Source organism: Homo sapiens, chromosome 16, assembly GCF_000001405.40.
Source record: "Homo sapiens chromosome 16, GRCh38.p14 Primary Assembly".
NCBI lineage: Eukaryota > Metazoa > Chordata > Mammalia > Primates > Hominidae > Homo > Homo sapiens.
Window position 1 is genome coordinate 84504665 of NC_000016.10, and position 21239 is coordinate 84525903.

At 52.3% G+C, this 21239-nt stretch overlaps 2 long non-coding RNA genes across 2 annotated transcripts, besides 18 other annotated features; both read left to right on the top strand.

Annotated features, from left to right (window-relative positions):
• Nucleotides 26-973: an enhancer, noted in NCBI's record as "H3K27ac-H3K4me1 hESC enhancer chr16:84538296-84539243 (GRCh37/hg19 assembly coordinates)". NCBI's record gives its function as "activates a minimal SCP1, AML or CMV promoter by ChIP-STARR-seq in naive and primed H9 embryonic stem cells {active_cell/tissue: H9 hESC(naive and primed)}" and the evidence as "EXISTENCE:reporter gene assay evidence [ECO:0000049][PMID:30033119]".
• Nucleotides 138-3015, top strand: LOC124903736 (uncharacterized). Its single transcript, XR_007065149.1, has 2 exons — nucleotides 138-271; nucleotides 2682-3015. It is a non-coding gene; the product is annotated as an uncharacterized LOC124903736 (long non-coding RNA).
• Nucleotides 336-455: an enhancer, noted in NCBI's record as "active region_11233". NCBI's record gives its function as "activates an Ori minimal core promoter by ATAC-STARR-seq in GM12878 lymphoblastoid cells {active_cell/tissue: GM12878}" and the evidence as "EXISTENCE:reporter gene assay evidence [ECO:0000049][PMID:35858748]".
• Nucleotides 1971-2090: a silencer, noted in NCBI's record as "silent region_7783". NCBI's record gives its function as "represses an Ori minimal core promoter by ATAC-STARR-seq in GM12878 lymphoblastoid cells {active_cell/tissue: GM12878}" and the evidence as "EXISTENCE:reporter gene assay evidence [ECO:0000049][PMID:35858748]".
• Nucleotides 2074-2310: a silencer, noted in NCBI's record as "fragment chr16:84540344-84540580 (GRCh37/hg19 assembly coordinates)". NCBI's record gives its function as "represses an EF-1alpha promoter that drives an FKBP-Casp9 reporter gene in an ReSE screen in K562 erythroleukemia cells {active_cell/tissue: K562}" and the evidence as "EXISTENCE:reporter gene assay evidence [ECO:0000049][PMID:32094911]".
• Nucleotides 2583-3083: an enhancer, noted in NCBI's record as "H3K4me1 hESC enhancer chr16:84540853-84541353 (GRCh37/hg19 assembly coordinates)". NCBI's record gives its function as "activates a minimal SCP1, AML or CMV promoter by ChIP-STARR-seq in naive H9 embryonic stem cells {active_cell/tissue: H9 hESC(naive)}" and the evidence as "EXISTENCE:reporter gene assay evidence [ECO:0000049][PMID:30033119]".
• Nucleotides 4074-4143: an enhancer, noted in NCBI's record as "active region_11234". NCBI's record gives its function as "activates an Ori minimal core promoter by ATAC-STARR-seq in GM12878 lymphoblastoid cells {active_cell/tissue: GM12878}" and the evidence as "EXISTENCE:reporter gene assay evidence [ECO:0000049][PMID:35858748]".
• Nucleotides 4834-5633: an enhancer, noted in NCBI's record as "H3K27ac-H3K4me1 hESC enhancer chr16:84543104-84543903 (GRCh37/hg19 assembly coordinates)". NCBI's record gives its function as "activates a minimal SCP1, AML or CMV promoter by ChIP-STARR-seq in primed H9 embryonic stem cells {active_cell/tissue: H9 hESC(primed)}" and the evidence as "EXISTENCE:reporter gene assay evidence [ECO:0000049][PMID:30033119]".
• LOC124903735 (uncharacterized) lies at nucleotides 6079-13666 on the top strand. The gene is made up of 2 exons (XR_007065148.1): nucleotides 6079-7058; nucleotides 13503-13666. It is a non-coding gene; the product is annotated as an uncharacterized LOC124903735 (long non-coding RNA).
• Nucleotides 6582-6631: an enhancer, noted in NCBI's record as "active region_11235". NCBI's record gives its function as "activates an Ori minimal core promoter by ATAC-STARR-seq in GM12878 lymphoblastoid cells {active_cell/tissue: GM12878}" and the evidence as "EXISTENCE:reporter gene assay evidence [ECO:0000049][PMID:35858748]".
• Nucleotides 6722-6781: an enhancer, noted in NCBI's record as "active region_11236". NCBI's record gives its function as "activates an Ori minimal core promoter by ATAC-STARR-seq in GM12878 lymphoblastoid cells {active_cell/tissue: GM12878}" and the evidence as "EXISTENCE:reporter gene assay evidence [ECO:0000049][PMID:35858748]".
• Nucleotides 7062-7191: an enhancer, noted in NCBI's record as "active region_11237". NCBI's record gives its function as "activates an Ori minimal core promoter by ATAC-STARR-seq in GM12878 lymphoblastoid cells {active_cell/tissue: GM12878}" and the evidence as "EXISTENCE:reporter gene assay evidence [ECO:0000049][PMID:35858748]".
• Nucleotides 9329-9936: an enhancer, noted in NCBI's record as "H3K4me1 hESC enhancer chr16:84547599-84548206 (GRCh37/hg19 assembly coordinates)". NCBI's record gives its function as "activates a minimal SCP1, AML or CMV promoter by ChIP-STARR-seq in naive H9 embryonic stem cells {active_cell/tissue: H9 hESC(naive)}" and the evidence as "EXISTENCE:reporter gene assay evidence [ECO:0000049][PMID:30033119]".
• Nucleotides 10114-10163: an enhancer, noted in NCBI's record as "active region_11238". NCBI's record gives its function as "activates an Ori minimal core promoter by ATAC-STARR-seq in GM12878 lymphoblastoid cells {active_cell/tissue: GM12878}" and the evidence as "EXISTENCE:reporter gene assay evidence [ECO:0000049][PMID:35858748]".
• Nucleotides 10194-10253: an enhancer, noted in NCBI's record as "active region_11239". NCBI's record gives its function as "activates an Ori minimal core promoter by ATAC-STARR-seq in GM12878 lymphoblastoid cells {active_cell/tissue: GM12878}" and the evidence as "EXISTENCE:reporter gene assay evidence [ECO:0000049][PMID:35858748]".
• Nucleotides 10274-10353: an enhancer, noted in NCBI's record as "active region_11240". NCBI's record gives its function as "activates an Ori minimal core promoter by ATAC-STARR-seq in GM12878 lymphoblastoid cells {active_cell/tissue: GM12878}" and the evidence as "EXISTENCE:reporter gene assay evidence [ECO:0000049][PMID:35858748]".
• Nucleotides 10524-10793: an enhancer, noted in NCBI's record as "active region_11241". NCBI's record gives its function as "activates an Ori minimal core promoter by ATAC-STARR-seq in GM12878 lymphoblastoid cells {active_cell/tissue: GM12878}" and the evidence as "EXISTENCE:reporter gene assay evidence [ECO:0000049][PMID:35858748]".
• Nucleotides 15276-15355: a silencer, noted in NCBI's record as "silent region_7784". NCBI's record gives its function as "represses an Ori minimal core promoter by ATAC-STARR-seq in GM12878 lymphoblastoid cells {active_cell/tissue: GM12878}" and the evidence as "EXISTENCE:reporter gene assay evidence [ECO:0000049][PMID:35858748]".
• Nucleotides 19316-19899: an enhancer, noted in NCBI's record as "H3K4me1 hESC enhancer chr16:84557586-84558169 (GRCh37/hg19 assembly coordinates)". NCBI's record gives its function as "activates a minimal SCP1, AML or CMV promoter by ChIP-STARR-seq in naive H9 embryonic stem cells {active_cell/tissue: H9 hESC(naive)}" and the evidence as "EXISTENCE:reporter gene assay evidence [ECO:0000049][PMID:30033119]".
• Nucleotides 19900-20484: an enhancer, noted in NCBI's record as "H3K4me1 hESC enhancer chr16:84558170-84558754 (GRCh37/hg19 assembly coordinates)". NCBI's record gives its function as "activates a minimal SCP1, AML or CMV promoter by ChIP-STARR-seq in naive H9 embryonic stem cells {active_cell/tissue: H9 hESC(naive)}" and the evidence as "EXISTENCE:reporter gene assay evidence [ECO:0000049][PMID:30033119]".

Consider the following 21239-nt stretch of genomic DNA (forward strand, 5'->3'; position numbering starts at 1 on the left):
CCCCTTCCCTGTTGCCAGGCAACATTGCTGAGGGGCAGTCATTTGGTCCAATCGTGGAAGCGGAGGTGTGGGGCGGAACCCAAGAGAGGAGTCAGCCAATGGTGACGCGCCTCACAGGGAGTGAGCCGAACCCGGTGGGTGCGGCTCGGGGCGGGGCCGCGGTCTGCGGGAGGAGCGGCTGCAGGCCCGGGAATCCGGCCCGGCTGCGTGCGTACCAAGGAGGCGCCTGGAGAGGGCGGCCAATGACTCAGGCCAGGCCAGGCCAGCAGTGGTACCTGGGGAGAAGGGGTGTCTGGGCTGGGCGCTGGAGCGGAGTAGCCAGGGTGTGGGAGATCCTGGGGGAGAGGCTGAGCTTGGGGGTGAAGACACCCGGGGGAGGAGAGTGGCCCATGTGGAGCCCATGCAGAGGCCTCTGCAGTGCAGCCTCCTGGGCCCCAGGCAACTCTCCCCTGACTCCCCGGCCTGCTGGTCCTGGCCTAGAGCCTCGGGTCCGCCTCCCCTCGGGCCTCCCTCTGCCAGCTGCCCCTGCCTCGCTCTTCCCTGGCACCAGGTCCTTCCCGGCAGCCATCAGGCGCCAGCTCCACAGCCTGGCTAAACAGACTCCCTCCACCCCACGTGCGCCTCTTCAGCCGGTTCCCGTTCACTCCAAGACGTCTGAACCTGTCACCCCACTTCTTCAGCTCGTTCCTTCTCAAACCCACCGAAACCTGGTCCCGGGGGCCTGCTCACTACATCCGAGGTGCGCTTTGGGTCCTCGCAGGCAGCATTTGGCGCTTGGTGATCGTGCTCTCATCAGACCTCTCTCTTGGGCACCCCGGCGCCCATTCCTGGCCCTGGCTCGCTCGCTGTCCCTGGTGGTCTTCCCTGGGCCCTTCTGGCTTCTGCCCTGGAGTTTCTCGACTTCTCCCTACTCTCTCCACCCCACGCATCCTCCCTGGGGTCCACCTTCCTGCAGATTCAGCTCCCGCATGTCCATGGTACCAGTTCTCTCCCCTGCACGGCCTGCTGGTTTTCCAGCCTGGAAAACCGTGACTTCGCCCGCCAACGTCCGCTTGAGTTGGTCTCGAACTCCTGACCTCAGGTGATCTGCCTGCCTCGGCCTCCCACAGTGCTAGAATTGTAGGGGTTAGCCACTGCACCCGGCTGGTCACCTCTTATTCTTTAAGCTGGAACAAAAATAGAAGGCTTTCTGCCTGAGGGCAGCAGGCCTGGCTGGTGACAGTGCACAAGGTAGGGCCCCTCACCAAGACATTGCTCTGAGATCCAAGGCCAATGTCCCAGGAGAAGCAGCTCCACAAACTAACGCATCTACAGCCAGGGTACCCCCAGCTGTGGATGCCAATGACACGAGTAGCCCCAGCTCTTCACCTCGGCTTCTTAGAGTAGGTGCCTGTCACCTGCAGCCAGGGCTCCTGATGCCCAAGACACACGGGCCTTTAGACATGAAGGACTAGACCCTGTTTCCAGCCTTCACACCCCTGTACTTCCTGCACACATCAACCAGGTGTGTCTTTTTCAGTGCCATCCGAGGTAGTGGCATTTTTGACATAGCAACAGTTTTTTGTAGGCTGAGGCACACCAAGGGTGGACAGCAATGGTGGCCTCTCAGGTGCAGGTACTGGGGGGTCCGCAGGAGCAAACCGGAGCCGATGTGTCAGCCTGGGCAACATAGTGAGACTCCATCTCTACAAAAAATGAAAAGCTTGGCCGGGCGTGGTATGGCACACCCGTAGTCCCAGCTACTCAGGGAGCCGAGGCAGGAGGATCGCTTGAGCCTCAGAGGGCGAGACTGCAGTGAGCCGTGATTGCACCACTGCACTCCAGCCTGGGCAGGAAAGTGAGATCTTGTTATTAAAACGGTGAAACAAAATCCCCCAGAAAACCACAGAAGCAAATGCGGAGCGGCGCCGTTTGAGAGCTACCGAAGTGGCGCCACCTCGTGGCCATACCCTCCAGAAACAGCCTACACTCCAATCTGCCCACCTGCCTGGTTGGAAAGTTTCTGTTTTTGATGGAGTTTCACTCTTGTTGCCCAGGCTGGAGTGCAATGGCGCAATCTCGGCTCACTGCAGCCTCCACCTCCCAGGTTCAAGCAATTCTCCTGCCTCAGCCTCCCGAGTAGCTGGGATTACAGGCATAGGCCACCACACCCAGTTAATTTTTATATTTTTAGTAGAGACGGGGTTTCACCACGTTGGCCAGGCTGGTCTCGAACTCCTGACCTTAGGTAATCCACCCACCTCGGCCTCCCAAAATGCTGGGATTACAGGCATGAGCCACCGCCCCTGGTATTCTCAATTTTTTTAAATAAGAGATTTATATTGCTTGACATTTTGCATATAAAGTGAGACTCTTTTAAAAATATACATCATGCTATTTCAACAAGCTGGTGCTCCCGGGGATGTCCATGGGCTGTCCAACTGCCCCCGGGGCACCAGCTTCTGTTTTTTATGCTGACTTTGGGCACTGAACTCTCCTTGGCTCCCAGAGGTCCTGACCAGGCTGGTCCTGCCATCCACAGCGGTGCCTCTGCTAGCGACATCCCTGCCCAATTTTCCATGTCCAGCTTTGACACCTCCACAGAAAGGCTGAGCCACCACCGGGCCCCCATTGTGGCTGAGCATCCACTCTCTCTTCCCCATGTGCTCCTTGCCCCCGACTCCCCATCTCTGGAACCCAAGTTTGGGCTGCATGGACCACCTTCTGGGCCAGGCTGTTAGGAGGCCACCACCAAGCAGCAAACGCAGGAGCAGCCGTGCCCTGAGGAGGCACCACCAGCAGCCTCCAGCAGCACTCGGTGAGGCGGGCAACGATCCATCTGTGCCGCCAGCATGGAGCCGGAAGCCACGGCTGACTTGTGCAGTAGAGGAAGTCGAGTTCATTTTATTGAATTTATTCTCATTTTCAGTTTGAATGGCCACATGTGGCAGGCAGTTATTCTATTGTGCAGTGCTTGCCGGACCACATGCAACAATTCAAAATTGAAAATCAAAAATAAATGTACGGCTCACCCACTAGGATAGCTAACGTTTTTGTTTTGTTTTTGAGACAGGATCTTGCTCTATCACCCAGTCTGGAGTGCAGTGATGCAATCACGGCTCAGCTCACTGCAGCCTCGACCTCCCAGGCTCAAGCCATCCTCCCACCTCAGCCTCGTAAGTAGCTGGGACCACCGGCGTACCCCACCACACCAGGCTATTTTTATTTTTTGTAGAGATGGGGCCTCGCGATGTTGCCCAGGCTGGTCTCGAACTCCTGGGCTCAAGCGATCCTCACACCTTGACCTCCCAAAGTGCTGGGATTACAGACATGAGCCACCATGCCCGGCCTAAGAGGGCTAAAGTTTTTTAAATAGCGAGTGTTGGAGAGGAGGTAGTTCTCTCCTCCCGCACTGCTGGTGAAATGGTTCAGCCATGGGGGAAATCAGTCCTCAAAAAGTTAAACAGAGTTACCATAGGACCAGCAGTCCCACGCCTAGATACACCACAAAGCTGAAAACCTGTATTCAAACACACACTAGTACTGGATGTTCAAGCAGCACTGTTCACGATAGCCTAAAGTGGAAAAAAGATAAAAGCCCATCTGAAGAATGGATAGACAAGATATGGTATATCCACACAATGGAATAATATTTGGCAATTTAAAAAAAAGGAATGAACCACTGACACATTACAACGTGGATAATCCTTGAAAATCTGATGTTATGGCCAGGCGCAGTGGCTCATGCCTGTAATCGCAGCACTTTGGGAGGCCGAGGTAGGTGGATCACCTACCTCGGTGGATCACCTGAGCTCAGGAGTTTCAGACCAGCCTGGCCAACATGGTGAAACCCTGTCTCTACTAAAAATACAAAAATTAGTCGGGCATGGTGGTGGGCGCCTGTAATTTTAGCTACTCAAGAGGCTGAGACGTGAGAATTGCTTGAATCCAGGAGGCAGAGGTTGCAGTGAGCCAAGATCGCGCACTGCACTACAGCCTGGGTGACAGAGTAAGACTTTGCCTCAAAAAAAAAAAAAAAAAAAAACTGTGGTTACGTGAAAGCAGCCAGACACAAAGGACCACATATTGTAGCTTTGATGTAAAATGTTCAGAAAAGACAAATTTAGAGACAGAAAGTAGATTGCGGTTGCCAGTGCTGGAGCGTTAGGAATGAGGAGTGACTGCTAATAATGGCTCTGGGGTCTCCTTCAGGGGTAATAAAAATATTTTGGGACTAAACAGAGGCAATAGTACAGCAATTGTGAACGTATTATCCTCAATGTCATGGAATTATACACTTCAATATGCTTAATTTTATGCGATGGGAGTGATACTAAGATTTTTCTTTTTTTTTTTTTTTTTTCAAGGAAAGTGCACAATCTTTTGAGGCCTCACACAGATGGTGGTGTGAAAGGGTCAAGGCTGTGGAGGCCTGCTAGAGGGCCGAGTTCCATTTCCCCTTAGAGTGAGTGCAGGGTCAGCCTCTCAGGGCTCGGGGGCTTCAGTGGCCCTGCCTCGGAGAGCTCCAGCCAATGGCCATGTCACGCGTGAGGCAGCTGAGGGGCCAGGGCAGCAGAGCAAGGTCTGTTGCCAGGAACTGACTGCCCTGCCTCCCAGCAGCAGGTCAGAGGTGGGGCATCTGGGACAGGTGGCCACAGCAGCCTGGAGACATCGCAGAAGGAGACCTTCCGTAGAACACCAGGAGCCCAGCAGTGAGGGGCTACAGGACCAGGACCCAGGGTGAACCAGGACCCAGGGTGACCCAGGACCCAGGGTGAACCAGGACCCAGGGTGAACCAGGAGGGTGAAAGGCCAGGTACTGCCCAGCTAAGGGCTGCAGCAGGCACCGCCTGCTAGGAGAGTCGCAAAGGACATCCACACAAGTGACCACAAGCTCAAAGTCAACTTGAAACATGGGCCACAGATCGCCTGAAGCCAGCTTACCCCCTTGGGACACAGAACAGCCCCCAAAGACGTCCATGACCTAATCCCCAGAACCTGCGCATATGTTACCTGACACGGCAAGAGGGACTTCGCATATGCGACTGAGTTAAGGACTTTGAAATGAGGCGATTATCCTGGATTACCCAGGTGGGCCCCAGGCAATCACAGCAATCCTAATGGGGGAAGACAGGAGGCTCAGGGTTGGGAGGAGACCGCGATGGAAGTAGGGAAGCAGGTGGGGGCAGGAGGCACTGGACAGTGCCACGCTACCGCCCTGAAGATGGAAGAGGGAAGGGAATCTCCTCTAGAGCCTCCACAGAGGACACCATGCTGCTGACCCCTTGATTTTAGGCTTCTGATTGCGGGACTGTAAGAACACATTAACGTGTCTTCAGCCACTGAGTTTTTGGGTCATTTCTCATAGCACCAATGGGAAGCCAACATCTCACCCCACTGGGCAAGTGAAAACTTCCCGTGCCCTATCCCTCCTTCCGAGCCGGAAGGGGGTCACAAATCAGGCGGTCAGACACCAAAAATAAAAATATAGGTGGCCAGGTACAGTGGCTCACGCCTGTAATCCCAGCACTTTGGGAGGCCGAGGCGAGCAGATCACAATGTCAGGAGTTCGAAACCAGCCTGGCCAACATGGTGAAACCCTGTCTCTACTAAAAAACAAAAATTAGCCAGGGGCGGTGATGCACTCCTGTAATCCCAGCTACTCAGGAGGCTGAAAAAGGAGAATTGCTTGAACCCGGGAGGCAGAGTTTGCAGTGGGCCAAAATCACGCCACTGCACTCCAGCCTGAGTGACAGAGCCAGACTCCAACTCAAAAAAAAAAAAAAAAAAAATAGAGGATAGTGGCCAGGTGCAGTGGCTCCCAATGCTTTGGGAGACCAAGGCAGGAGGATTGCTTTAGTCCAGAAGTTCAAGACCAGTCTGGAGAACATATTGAGACCTTGTATCTTAGACAAAAATTAGCCTGGCATGGTGGTGCATGAATTTTAAATTCATGAATAGCCTGTGGCCCCAGCTACTTGGGAGGCTAAGATAGGAGGATCACTTGAGCCTACGAGGTCAAGGCTGCAGTGAGCTATGATCGTACCACTGTACTCCAGCCTCGGCAACAGAGTGAGATCCTGTCAAAAAAAAAAAAAAAAAAGCCCAGCTAAGTTTGAGTTTCAAATACTTTTTTTTTAGTAGAAAAAGACCCCAATATTGCATGAGATGTAATTATACTAAAAAAGTGTTCACTCTTTATCTGAAATGCAAACTTAGCTTGGCATCCTGTTATCTGGCAATCCTCATCAAAAACAGCAGCTACATGGAAGGAGGGTAGCAGGGAAGAGAAAAACCACAGTCCCTGCTGCCCCAGTAGGCTCTTGGGGGCATGGGGGAAAGCTAATGGTAAGTCAGCATCCACATTTTACTACCTGGGACCGAACATTTTAAATTCATGAATAGAGACTGCTTTTGATCTAAAGTGGTACCAGGAACTAATTCCCTAGGAATAGTCAAAAAAAAAAAAAAAAAATCACGGGAAAGGTCTGGGCTTTTCATAGCGTAGAAAGAAGGGACAAGAGGGCAGCCCTCTTCCCGCGTTCCCACTGAGCAGGTTTGAGGGGCAGCAGGAAACAAGGCTGACTGCATTGTGGCACCCCTCCAGGCTGCCTTGGACGAGTTAAGATGGGATCCGTCAGCTTGGTCCCTAACCCCAGGTAAAGATGGAACAGATGCTGGCTGTGACCAGGAGTCCTGAATTTGCCTTGCACCATTTCCCTCCACCGGACTGGGAGCCACTGCGGGGCAGGAAGCTGCCTTTTCCATTTCCCAAGACCGGAATCAATCACAGCGGCTCATCGCATCATGCATCCTCTGCAATGGTTCCTTCCTTTCCAGGGAGGTTGGTCACGGCCAATGCTGTCCTGTGTCCACCAGGTGGCGCTCGCGATCACCGCAAAACACATGGCTACCGTGATGGTTTTTAAATAAGAAATCTTACAATGGTTTTAGACATAAAGGACTGTTGAGAATATGATAGAGAGTTCGTGTGCGACCCGCACCCTGTTCCACTGCGCCTTAACATCTGACATGACTCTGGTCCATCTGTCACCATGAAGGAGCCAATTCATATATGAGTAAGTCACCTGCATTTTATTCACTCTTCCTTCGTGTTTGCCTAATGTCCTTTTCTACCCCAGGTCCCACGAGACATTTAGCCATCAGGTGTCCCCAGGCTGCTCCTGGCTCTCGCGGTTGCTCAGACTCTTTGTTTCTGATGCTCTTGACAATTTGAGGAGTCCTGGTCAGGGATTCAGTCAAGTGTCCCCCACTATTGTGATTTAGCTGATGGTCTCCTCGTGATTGGACGGGGGTATGGGTCTGGGAGACAGACCCCAGAGGTGAAGTGGCCCTTCTCGTCACATCGTTTCAAGGGCCAGAACTATCAGTGTGGCTCACGGCCGTCGATGTCGCCCTTGAGTACCTGGCTGAGGTGGCACCTGTCCGCCTCTCCTGCTATGAGGCTGCCCTTCCACTCCCCTTCTATTCTGTACTCTTGGATCATTTTTTGGCTTTTGGAAACCATTTCCTGAACGCTTGGCCATTGGAGCACTGAGTTCGGTTAGGACAGTGGAGGTAGGGGTGAGAATTGGGGGACAGGGTGCTGGTCACATGGTGTGAGAACAAAGTGGAAACTTACAACCAGGGGGAAGGGCCCAGCGGTTTTCAAAGTTAGGGCACCCAATAGTAACTTAGGGTTCTTGCCTCTTCCCACCTCTGAATTACCCAGGTAAAACTTAAGTCAGGATCCTTTCAGAGGTGATAGGAAATGTGATCTGAGAGGCCAAAATAGATGCCCCTGTATCAGCTAAGATGGACCATAAGGTTAAGGAAACAAAGTTACCTGTGGTTCCAGTGTTCAAGGTTCAGGGCCCAGCTGGCATGGGAAATTAATTAATTTTTTTCTTTTTTGAGACAGAGTCTCACTGTCATCCAGGCTGGAGTACAATGGCGTGCTCTCGGCTCACTGCAACCTCCGCCTCCCAGGTTCAAGCAATTCTCCCACCTCAAACTCCTGAGTAGCTGGGATTATAGGCATGCGCCACCACACCCAGCTAATTTTTGTATTTGTGGTAGAGACGGGGTTTCACAATGTTGGCCAGGCTGGTCTCAAACTCCTGACCTCGTGATCAGCCCGCCTCAGCCTCCCAAAGTCCTGGGTTTACAGGTGTGAGCCACCACACCTGGCCCAATTTATTTATTTGACACCCCGGCTGGAGTGCAGTGGCGCGATCTTGGCTCAGTGCAACCTCTGCCTCCTGGGCTGAAGCGATTCTCCCACCTCAGCCTCCCAAGAATCTGGGATTACAGGCATGTGCCACCATACCTGGCTAATTTTTATATTTTTTGTACAGACAGGGTTTCATCATGTTGCCCAGGCTAGTCTCGAACTCCTGACCTCACGTGATCTGCCCACCTCAGCTTCCCAAAGTGCTGGTATTACAGGCATGAGCCACTGCACCTGGCCTGGCATGGCAAATTTTAAAATCCCTATGGCGGCAAGAAAAAAAAAAACACATTTGCAAAACACCCTAATAATTGGAGCTATCAGGCAAATTATCCTAACTCTGATTTACAATCCCAACCGCTACAACTCTGACCGGACGAAGGAATGGACTTACATTCTTTTCCCATAAGTAATTACAGACCTTAAGCCTGTTTCGGCGGCTTACAGAAGCTACCCACAGACTGTGTGCCCTACAGTTCACCTTTTCACACAAAGAGCCAAGTTCCACCTCTCTTTAATGCTAACCTCACTCCAACGTGAACATGTGATATACGTTATATGTATGTCACATGTGTTTACCCACTGCCCATGCACTCGGCTCCCTTCATAAATATATATCACTTCCTCCCGAACCTGCTGAATATGTACAACTATTGTGGGCTACAGGCCCTGTTAGGCATAAAACCCAGCCTGTTCCTCCCCTCTTGGAAGAGGGGTTACCTTTGGCACACACTGGAGACCGTCTCTTCCAGTTTGCAAACTGATACCCCCGCCAAGCTCTCCTTTCTACCATTTAGCCACCCTGGCGGTCTTTCGGATAACAAGAAAAATCCAGGAAAAGGCAGCAAAGGAAAAGCAGCGTCCAAAAGGCTGAGGGAGACTGTCACCCTGTCCTCTAAGTGCCACCAAGACACAGAGCCTGAGCGCAGGGACGTCATGTGTATGTCCCTTGCACCTGGGCCTGGTCTGGCCCGCAGCCGGGGCTCAAGAAACAGCTGCTCACCGAGAGTGGTGGCTCACACCTGGAATCCCAGCACTTTGGGAGGCCAAGATGGGAGGATCACTTGAGCCCAGGATTTCAAGACCAGCCTGGGCAACACAGGGAGGTCCCTCAACCCTACAAAGAGTCAAAAATTAGCTGGGCGTGGTGGCCCACGTCTCTGGTCCCAGCTACTCGGGAGGCTGGGGAGGGAAGATTGCTTGAGCCTAGGATGTAGAGGCTAAAGCGAGTTGTGATTGTGTCACCACACTTCAGCCTGGGTGACAGAGCCAGTCAAAAAAAAAAAAAAAAGAAAGAAAGAAAGAAAAAGAAATGGCTACCGAATGAACAAATGGTCGGTTGGTTGCTCCTGCCCCACTCAGTTCCCCCAGGTAAAATGGATCCTGCCTCTCACCTACTTTAAAACCCTTCCACGACTGCCCACCACCCTAGGCTGCCCTCTCACTCAGCCCCCACCATCTGGGCCTGGTCTCTCCCCACATGCAGGGCCCAGCTCGACTCCTTCACCCCGACCTTTCCATGGTCCTCTCTCCCCACGCGCACGGCCCAGCTCAACTCCTTCACCCGGGCCTTTCCACTTTGCCTGGAACACGTGTCCCCATGTTCTTCCCTCCCTCATCCTTCAGGTGTCCCCAAGATCTTCCTGCCCACTCTCCACCCCACCTTGGCTTACGTGGCCCGCAGCCCAGAACTGGGATGAAAATAATGGGGGTGGAGGGAGGTGATGTTCTTTGACGACAGTACAGGCTTCAAGGACAGTGGAGAAGCCTGATCTGGGGGAGGATGGTGTGGGGAAAGACCCCGTGGGTGAGCCACGAGGCTAAGGAGGGGTCGTGGGGGAGGGTTATGCCCCATCCAAAAGCCCCACCAACTTAAATTCTGCAGCTGATTTCTGCCGCTGCTGTCTTGCCACTGCACAGGAACCCCAGGCTCAGAGCTCCTGTCACTTTATCTTGGGCACCAGGCACCCTGCAGAGGTAGCTTCATCCTGGGCCTCTCACAAAACGTTGCTTTTGCAGTAAGAGTCGCTGTGAGTTCAACCCACGGTTCTCACTGCGCTAAGGCTCTGTTTCTGCTTTTGTGGTACACAGGTCTTTTTCTTCTTCTAACACCATAAAAGGTGACAAAATCTCCTAGTTGCTGAAGTCCTCTGTGCACACACTCGGCTGGGGAGCCTTTGTGGCTTAGTGGAGCGAGGCTTGTGGGGCCGCCTGCTTACCTGGGTCCCTGCCTCTGCAGGGATTGCCTTATATGGTGAACAGGCCCAGTGACAACGTGCAGCCAGGGCTGGTGACGGAAGTCCTCAGTTTCGAAAGAGGCTTTGCACGGATCTTTACAGAAGGTCTGGCCTCCAAGCAGGCAGGCAGGCAGCAAGCCACCTTTCCAGAAGTCACCAGGCATCGAGGGCAACCAGGGAGTCGGTGCCCAGACTAAATGCAGACAGGTCATTCTGCTTCCTGCCCAGCAGTTCAAAGGAGAAGACATGGCCAGGAATGGACTGTTTCGCGGAGATGAACAGAGGGAGGCAGCAGGGCTTTCTAACACTAGGTACAACCAGATGAAGCTGCCGTTTGGGATTGTAAACATGATTAATACAGGTAGATGTGGTCCAGGCTCACAATCACCCGCCCATGGGCCAGGCCCATGCTAAGTGCCGAACACGCAGCATCCCACTTAACCCTGGCAGCCAGCACTCTGGGATAGGCACTGTCATTCTTCGCACTTAACAGATACACAAACTGAGGCTCCAAGCAGGACAGTAGCTTCTCTACCAGGCAACCGGTCCATGGCAGAGACAGTGCAGGCCTCCTGCAATCCCAGCTCAAGAAGGCTGTGCTGGGGCAGGGAGCAAGGGACATGGCTGTCTGACACTGTGGCCTCGGGCCACACCCGCTGCTTGAATGTCTCGGGTCCAAACCTAGATGTGCTATAAGCGTGAAAGACGCAGCAGTGTTCAAAGACTTGGTTGATTTTTTTAAATTTTAAAATCTCACATTTTAAACTACTATTTTATGGCCAGGAGCAGTGGCTCAAGCCTATAATCCCAGCACTTTGGGAGGCCAACGCAGGCAGATCACCCAAGGTCAGGAGTTCGAGACCAGCCTGGCCAACATGGCGAAATCCTGTCTCTACTAAAAATACAAAAATTAGCCAAGAGTGGTGGTGGGCATCTGTGGTCCCAGCTACTCTGGAGGCTGAGGCAGGAGAATCGCTTGAGCCCAAGAGGTTGAGGTTGCAGTGAGCCGAGACTGCACCACTGCACTCTAGCCTGGGCAACAGAGTAAGACTCCATCTCAAAAAAATAAACTACTATTTAGAAATAATTATAGATTCAACAGAAAGTTGCAAAGACAGTGCACAGAGGTCCAATATACCCTGCACCAAGTTTCCCTGTGGTTCTAACTCACCTAATCCAAACTGGGAAAGAGACATTGATGCAATCAATGTGTGTGTCCAATTCTGTCATTTCCCCACGAGGGTAGTAGAGTCGTGTGACCATCACTACAAAACACAACTATTCCATCTATGCTGAAGATACAGAAGTGTTCCATCACCACGATGATCTCTTCCATGTTGCCCCAAAATAATTGTGAAATAGAAATTCCATGTAGAAATAGTATTTTGGCTATATTAGGTTCAAAGCATATTAATGTTACCATTTCTCGTTTTAAAACATGAACAATGAAAACCTTAGAATCGCACACAGGGCTTGTGTTCTACCTCCATTGTCTGTATTTGGATGTTGGACAGCACCGGCTCCGAAGTTCAGACCACAGCTCGGTTGCTTTGGATGGGTTAATTAACCTCCCTGAGCTAGGCTCCGTGGGAGTAGACCAGACCTGTAAGAGTCACTGTTCGGCACACTTGAGTGCCTATGTGCTGGGCATCACGTAAAGGCAGGGGACACAGGAGGCAGCGAGAGAGACCATGTCCTCCAGAGGGAGAGGAGATGCCCTGTAAAGGCTCACACACGGGCTAGTAGTGAGAAGGGTCAGTCCACAAGCACCGCCAGGTAGAGTTGGGACCCAGAAGGGGTTAAATAAAAACAGCAAGGGAGAGGACTTAAGAACATGGCACAGACTCCCCCACACACAGTAAGGAAAAGAAACGCATGCACTGTCAGCAAATAAACAGCAGAAACAAAGAATTTTTTTTTTTTTTTTTTTTGAGATGGAGTCTTACTCTGTCGCCCAGGCTGGAGTGCAATGGCGCGATCTCGGCTCACTGCAACCTCCACCTCCCAGGTTCAAGCAATTCTCCTGCCTCAGCCTCCCAAGTAGCTGGGATGACCAGGGTCCACCACCGCACCCACCTAATTTTTGTATTTTTAGTAGAGATGGGGTTTCATCATGTTGGCCAGGCTGGTCTCGAACTCCTGACCTCAGGTGATCTGCCCACCTCGGCCTCCCAAAGTGCTGGGATTACAGGCATGAGCCACGGCACCCAGCCAGAATGTTGCTTAGAAACCCAAATTGTCCCTGTTGCCCCAGAGCAGGTAAACCATACTGGGGGACCCCAGAATCCCAGCTCTTCCCGGGTGCCTCCCAGTACCCAGAAGGCAACAGGAAGAAGCGACTGCGGTTGAAAATAATAAAAATACTGCTACATGCAGGCCCTGTTCCCCTAGAGAACTCGACCGCCAGCTGGGAACTGATACCAGGCCCCACGAGACCCATCCCCCAGGGCCCGTCCCAGAGATACTCAGCCCCAGGCGCTGGAAAGCTTTTCCAAAGAGATTATGAAAAACGTCTAATATGCGGAAAACCAGACTAAAAAAACAAGCCCTCTTTATACCCACCACCCAGACTCAGCCATTGCTAACATTCTGCCCTTTCCTACTGTTCGTTGGAATGTTCGAAGTGGGTCAATTCTGACATTTAAGCTTTCAACATATTTGACGCATTTTTTAAAAAATGATGCCGTTGTACTAACCACAGAACTGTCAATGCATCTAACAACATTAACAATCATTTTGTCATAGAACCTGAGCGTCAATTGCTGGACTCTGGTTGGTAATGCAGAGTCTCCCGGCTTTACCCCAGACCTCCTGAATCAGAATCCGCACCTTCACAAGGTCTGAGTACTTCATGTACTCATGATGGTTGGAGGAACAAACTATTTTTTTGGAGACAGGGTCTCGCTGTCATTGAGGCTGGAGTGCAGTGGTGCAATCATAGCTCACTGCAGCCTCCACTTCCTGGGCTCAAGTGATCCTCCCGCGTCAGCCTCTCGAGTAGCTGGGACTACAGGCACATGCCACTACACCTGGCTGATTTTTATTTTATTTTCCAGGGTCTTGCCAAGTTGCCCAGGCTGGTCTGGAACTCCTGGACTCAAGTGATCCACCCACCTCAGCCTCCCAAAGTGCTGGGATTATAGGTGTGAGCTGCTCCGCCCAGCCCAGAAGCAAACCTTATATTCAGTCTCATTGGATTAAATTCTATCCCTCCACAAAATTCATGTGTTAAAGTCTTTCTCCCAGTGCCCCAGGATATGACTATGTGACTTATTTGAAAATAGAGTCATTGCAGATGGAATTAGTTAAGATGAGGTCACAGCAGGGTACTGGGCCTATGATCTAGTGTGACTGGTATTTTTTTTTTTTTTTTTTGAGGTGGAGTCTCACTCTGTTGCCCAGGCTGGAGTGCAGTGGTGAGATCTCGGTTCACTGCAGCCTCTGCCTCCCAGATTCAAGCGATTCTCCTGCCTTAGCCTCCTGAGTAGCTGGGATTACAGGCATACACCACCACGCCTGGCTAATTTTTTTTTTTTTTTTTTTGTATATTTTTAATAGAGCTGGGGTTTTGCCATGTTGGCCAGGCTGGTCTTGAACTCCTGACCTCAGGTGATCCACCCGCCCTGGCCTCCTAAAGTGCTAGGATTATAGGCAGGAGCCACCATGCATGGCCTTTTTTTCTTTTTCATTGGACAGAGACAGCCATGCACGGAGGGAAGGTATTGTGAAGAGTCACACAGGAAGACAGCGTCCACAGGCCTCGAGATGCACCAGCCCTGCTGACACCTTGACTTTGGGTTTGTGGCATCCAGAGCTGTGAGGAAGTCGATTTCTGGTGATTTTAACCCCCTGCCCGCAGTTTGTGGTACAGCAGACCTAGGAAATGAATCCACAGTCCCTATCCAAAGTTCACCTGTGGTTTTCTTAAAAATACCCATGGCGGAGCCCACACTAACGATTCCGATGTCCCAGGTCTGGGCGGGGCTCAGGTGTGGGTGCTTTTAAAACTGAGACTACACTGCAGGCAAGGCCAGCGTGGAGTCACGAAGCTGCTCTCCTGGTTAACCAGGAAACAGCAGCCAGGTGGTGTAGGGCGCCTGAGGACAGTCACTGAAGTGTACCTGAGAAGGTGGGGATGACCCTGGATGGCAGATGCACGCGGATGCATGTTCCGAGCTAGGGAATCTGGGTTGGCCAACCCCGAGATCCGTTCCTTGTCTATGAGACACATCTGAGCCTCAGTTCCCTCTCCCCCACCCCAACCCCAGCCTGGCCCGTGGAACACGAGCTGTACAGGAGGTTGAGGCCCTGAGTTTTTGGTTAAATGCAGGTTGCCAGGTGGAGGCCGTTAGGGGGAGGGGGTTAAATGAAAATGCTGGGTAAACTGCACGATGTTTGCAGACGGCCGTGGCTCTCCTGTGCAGCCCGCTCTCCCCTGTCCGTACGCCGCAGTAAAACCTGTGTCTCGTTCACTGTCTCTGAGTCTCTTCGTTGGCCTCTTGAACCTGGTGCCTTCCCTATTGAGGTTAATAGGGGTTTCGGCACAAAGGATGGACCCTCATCTGCCGCCTGCTGTTTTGCGGGGAAAGGGTAGTAAGTTATTTGGAGAGAGAAATACCCAACACCAGGGCTGGAACCCCGGCAGCTCTGGTCCTCAGTGTGGGTTTTGACTCACAGCAGCCCCTTAGGAACTTGTTAAACTACAAAAATCCTCAAGCCGCACACACAGCTCTTGGGTCAGAGATTCCTGGAGTGGGCTGCTGACTGCATTTTGAGGAGCCGTCCTGGGGGCTCCGATGCAGGCTTGAGAGTGAGAACCCGGACGAGAAGACGTGCAGGCCCCACGCTGTGTGCACTCAGGCAGCCCCCGGACCAACCCACAGGGGTTTCAGTGTGATCAGCTCTGTCTACAACAAGGTGTAAAGAAACAAAATCCCACAACCACAGCCCCTGACCTGGGAGTTTCCTTCATCATCCGCAAACACAGTAACATTTTCAAAAAGTCCTAAAGACTTAAGAAAAAGGCAACTTCCTCTCCACCTCCTCCAGACCTGCTCCCTGGAGGCAACCGCCACGAGAAGCTTCCCGTGGATTTTCCCAAAGTTCTAGAGGTGCATATTCACCTCCACCTACAGCCTTTAAACATGGACACACGGGAAGCAGACGACTGTCTTACTCCTTGACTTTTTTCTCGTTTAACAATATATTAGGAGCTCACGCCAATCTACGTTTTCCTAACCTGCCACTGTCTAAGTCGATAATAATTTATTGAGCCAATTCCCGTTGAGAGGCACTTCAGTTGCTCCGTCTTTTGCTTTTATGTACAACACTTGTTTAACATCCTAGTATGCACATCTTCCTACATACAGATGGCTAAATATTGTTCCCAGACTGTGGGTTTCATAGGCAAGTTAAAACATCAAGAGAGTAATCCAAAGCTGTCTCTTATTTCACCCACTAAGGATATTTAAAAGAAAAAAAAAAGTAATACCCTTTATCATTGCCTGTTTCACAAAATAAAGTCATTTTAACCTAAACCTTAGAAAAGACAGATTCAAAAAACCAAAGTGAACACATCGCTTTCTCACGTGACCAGGGATCTGCAGCTCTCCAACACGGTTCTTCAAAGGAAAAGGGGAGATGAGATGAGTAGCACGCCCAAGCCCCCACCAGCTGTAGCTGCTCCCCCTCCCGCCTCCCAAGGGCACAATTCTGTAAGAGGAACTCCTACCGCCTCCCTCCATCCTGTCTGCAATTATATCGCCCTGATTTCCCAGGCTCTTCTAATTTAGAGTGAGCGTGTCCATTCTCATTGGGTGCTTGGAGAAGGTAATTCCATCCAGGTGCCTAATGAGACCAGCAGGCCACTGGACAGCTGTCGGGTTTTCAAAGAAATCTGTTAGCAGGTGCTCACCAAGCAAATAAACTTCTCGGCTCTATGAAATGCCAATTGCTCTGCAATTCCAAGGCAAAGTGGTTCCTATTACCCAGGTGTTACCATGGCTGGAAAACAGGACGGAGTTGCCCAGGTCAGGACTTGCCCCCACTCCATCATAGGTGCCTCTTGAGGGTTTGTGGAGCGGTACGCTTGCTCGCAACCCCGTACCAACCAAGGCCTGGTCCCAAGCCAACAGGGCTGGCATCACCTGGAGCCAGAATCTGCATTTTAACCAGGTGACTCACATCCACATTGAAGTTTGAGAAGCACCAGCTTAAACAGAGCTATACTGAGACCAAGCCAGGCGGCAGGGGTCACACTGTGAAACTGGGAGGGGTGCCTCGTCAGGCAGCTGACTGGAAAGCTGACTCTGCCACCTCTGTTTGTGCGACATTGAGTAGACATTTTGTCTCTCTGGGCTTCAGGCTCCTCGTCTGTAAAATGGGAGTAAGGACAGGACCTGCCTCACGGGATGCTCTGAGGATGAAATACGCTAATGAATGTAAGGCGCAGGGCCTGGCACAGCACCAGGAGCTCTAAACACGTGGGTGGTTCCTTCCCCTGCCTCTTCCAGTAGAAAGGCTCAGGTTCCTCCAAAGGCCACTGTCTCAGCCTTGATCATCCTAGAAACCCACAAAGATGTGGCATGTCTATTTTATGTTCTCAAGACCCTGAGTACTTTTTTTAAAAATTGAGGCAGGGTCTTGCTCTGTTGCCCAGGCTGGACCGCAGTGGTGTGATCATGGCTCACTGTAGCGTCGACCTCCTGGGCTCAAGAGCTCCTCCTGCCTCAGCCTCCCAAATAGCTGAGACTACAGGCATGCACCACCACGCCCAGCTAATTGTTTTGATTTTGTGTATGTGTGGACATGAAGTTCTCACTATGTTGTCCAGGCTGGTCTCAAACTCCTGGCCTCAAGCAGTCCTCCTGACTTGGCCTCCCAAAGCACTGGGATTATAGGTATGAGCCCCTGCACCCAGCCCAACCCTGAATACTTTAAGCCTCGGTAGTTATATGACTGTCCTGGGACGCAGTTAAACACACAAATGTCTGGGGCTCAGTCCCAAGCAGCCTGATTTTGTAGGTCAGGAATGATGTCCTGGATTTTCCAATTTTTTGTTGTTGTTGTTGTTACAGAGTCTCACTCTGTCGCCCAGGCTGGAGTGGAGTGGCACAATCTCGGCTCACTGCAACCTCCGCCTTCTGGATTCAAGCAATTTTCCTGCCTCAGCCTCCTGAGTAGCTGGGATGACAGGCATGTGCCAGCACGTCCAGCTAATTTTTGTATTTTTAGTAGAGACGGGGTTTCACCATGTTGGCCAGGATGGTCTCGATCTCTTCACCTCGTGATCCGCCTGCCATGGCCTCCCAAAGTGCTGGATTACAGGCGTGAGCCACCACGTCCAGCGGATTTTCCAATTTTTAACCAGCATCTGGGTGACATTGATATATGTAGACCAGGAAACACCCAGGAAGAAGCACTAATCTAAGACCTCACTGCTCAGAGGGTGATCCGGGACCAGCAGCACCGGCGTCGCTAGACAGCCTGTTAGGAAGGCAGCCTCCGGCCGCCAGGACCTACTGAATCGGAATCCGCATTTTAACAAGATCCTGGGAGACTCGTGTGCACCTTAAAGCTGACTAGGCGCTGCCCAAGGATGTCCCTGACCCAGGCTTGGAGGTGATGAGGGGACCCTTGGCGCTCTTGGGTATGGGCACTCCCAGCCCTCCATCTGCCTAGCCCCTTCTTCGGGGACCGGTATTGGAGCTCAAGCTCCAGGGCTAGAGCTTGATTTCTTCTGGAATAGATCTTGTATTTGTTTCCTGTAGCTGCTGTAACAAAGTATCACCAACTGGGTGCCTGAAAGCAACAAAGTCTTTTGTGTCACAGTTCAGGAGGCCAGAAGTCCAAAACGAGGCATCCACAGGGCTGGTTCCTTCTGAGCACTGTGAGGAAGAATCTGACCAGCCTTTCCGCTGCTTCACCTCAGGGGGTTGCCTGCAGTCCCAGGCTTGTGGCCACATTGCTCCAATCGCTGCCTCCAGCTTCACGTGGCCTTCTCTGTGTCCATCTCTTCTTCTTTTCTGCTTCTTCTGTTTTGGTTGGGTTTTTGTGGGTTTTTTTGAGACAGGATCTCACTCTGTCACCCAGGCTAGAATGCAGTGGTACGATCACAGCTCACTGAAGCCTCAACCTCCTGGGCTCAGGTGATTCTCCCACCTCAGCCTTCTGAGTAGCTGGGACCACAGGTGCCCCAACGCACCTGGCTAATTTTTTTTTTTTTTTTTCACTTTTAGTAGAGACAAGGTCTCACTTTGCTGCCCAGGCTGGTCTCAAACTCCTGGGCTCAAGTGATCCTCCTGCCTCTGCCTCCCAAAGTGCTGGGATTATAGGCGTGAGACACTGCACCCAGCCCTCTTCTGCCTCTTAGAAGGACACTAGTCATTGGATTTAGGACCCACCCCTAATCTAGGATGATCTCATCTGCAAAGACCCTCTGTCTAAATAAGGCCACAGGTGCAGGGCTTAGGACTGGACATGTCCACCATTCAACTCATGACAGGCCTACTCTGCGGCTCACACCTGTGAGTATTCAAGTCACTGTTCTCCAGGCAGTTTTACATCTGTTTGGTCTCTTTTCTTCTCCGGAAGGAAGAAAGGTTGTGTCCTCCTTTAAAGAGATTTCAGCCCTCTGCCAGTTGGCAGGGAGGCTGTGTGCATTCCCATGACTGGCTGACAACCCCGGTGACAGCTTTTTACACTCACCAGGAAACAGAGGGCAGAAAGGGGCAGCTAGGGGGCTGGAGCTCAGCAGCTCCCGCCTCGAAAGGATACCATGTGGGCACCACAGCCGGATGGCCCACAGAATGGGGGGAGCATCCTTTGGCCTTCAGACACAGCCCTACCCGCAGTCCTGCAGATTTCACGGACTAATCTGGGGCACCAACACCCAGGGGAGGCCACCAGGAAATGATCTGGCCCTGAATAAAAGAACGTTTGGCCGGGCACGGTGGCTCACGCCTGTAATCCCAGCACTTTGGGAGGCCGAGGCGGGCGGATCACAAAGTCAGGAGATCGAGACCATCCTGGCTAATACGGTGAAACCCTGTCTCTACTGAAGGTACAAAAAAATTAGCCGGGCGTGGTGGCGGCCGCCTGTAGTCCCAGCTACTCGGGAGGCTGAGACAGAATGGTGTGAAGCCGGGAGGTGGAGCTTGCAGTGAGCTGAGTTTGCGCCATGGCACTCCAGCCTGGGCAACAGAGCAAGACTCCATTTCAAAAAAAAAAAAAAAAAAAAAAAAAAAGAACGTTCATCTGGCTGTGCTTTTTGAAACCTCTAACACCTGACGCTAAGGGACCTGGGGGTTGGGTTGATGAGACCCACAGAATGGGAGGGTCCATGGCCCTGGTGAGCAGGCTTCAGGCAGCCTCAGAGCTCGCCTGAGCTGAGACACACACATGGATGCACAGACTTTGATAGCGCACGCTGTCGACCGCAGCCAACAGCTAGTTGAGTCAAAAGATCAGACCTCCTGTTGCTCTTGTTGTGGCCAGCAGCCCTGAGCCCCGCTGCCCTGCTGCCAGGATCTCGTGGGATGCTTAGACAAGCCCGGCTGCCAGGGCTGCTCCCAGACCGGCTGAGTGGCAAGCTCTGGGAGATGGGGTGCAGGCACCGGGGGTTCCAATGACCAGCAGCACCAAGAACCACTGGTATGTAACTATAATCTGTTGTCACACCGGCGGGAGCTTTGGGAAGACATGGGGCCTTGTGGCACCAAAGGGCAGCTTTAGGAACCTGCAGGTCTAGGTGGTTCCCATGTGGCAGCCTGTTTGAAACAGTGTTGAAAGTGCTTCCATCCTATGGGTCCCCCTGCAGCCCTCAGCCTGGGACCCCCTCCTCACCTTACCCCAGCTCCAATAACAGAATCCATCCCTCTTTTTGGGCTACTGTGTCTGTGTTCTTGGGTTTGTGGTGGCCATGGGGGTGCACGGCTCAGATCTCCCTGCAAGACAGAATCTGGTGGTGTCCCGGCTCCCAGCCAATGTGAGACAGGGCATGGCTCCTAGAGCCCGGCCACTCCGCCCCCTCCACTCAGTCCTCTCCTAGAGCCCGGCCACTCCGCCCCCTCCACTCAGTCCTCTCCTAGAGCCCGGCCACTCCGCCCCCTCCACTCAGTCCTCTCCTAGAGCCCGGCCACTCCGCCCCCTCCACTCAGTCCTCTCCTAGAGCCCGGCCACTCCGCCCCCTCCGCTCAGTCCTCTTTATTCTGGGCTCCCCGACTTTCTCATTGCTGCTCTGCAGGCTGAGGCTCTTCCCCGCTCCCAAACTGCCATCCTCCCTCCCCCTCCGCTCTGTCAGTGTCAGACACGTCCCACGGCTGAAGCCCTTCAGCACCCACTCCTCTCCCCAGTTCCTCGACCCACATGGGCATTACATCCAGTACATTGCTGGCACATCTAACTCCCACTCGGGATTCGAATCTGTTTCCCATGAGACTGGAACTGGCAAAGAGTGGTTTCTAGCTCAGAACTCATAATGTGTGCTTGCCCCCAAATCTAGGAATGGGATTCCAAAGACATGTAACAAGCGTCCTCGGTGCTCACACGTGGCCCCAGAGGCCCACGCCAAGCAGCAGCCTGCCCAGCGTGGGCCTCCAACACCTCTTCCTCACCCCTGCATGACCTCCTCTTCCGTGGATCTTTCCACGGCACTCTCCCTGATGTCAACATAAGCTGCTACCTGATCAGAGCCACCAGGATCCCAGACCTGCCAAACCGTTCATCCATTCACCAGCCCTACTTGGAAGCTCAGAGGACATGGAGACGTGTTAACTTTTAATTTTTTAATTTTT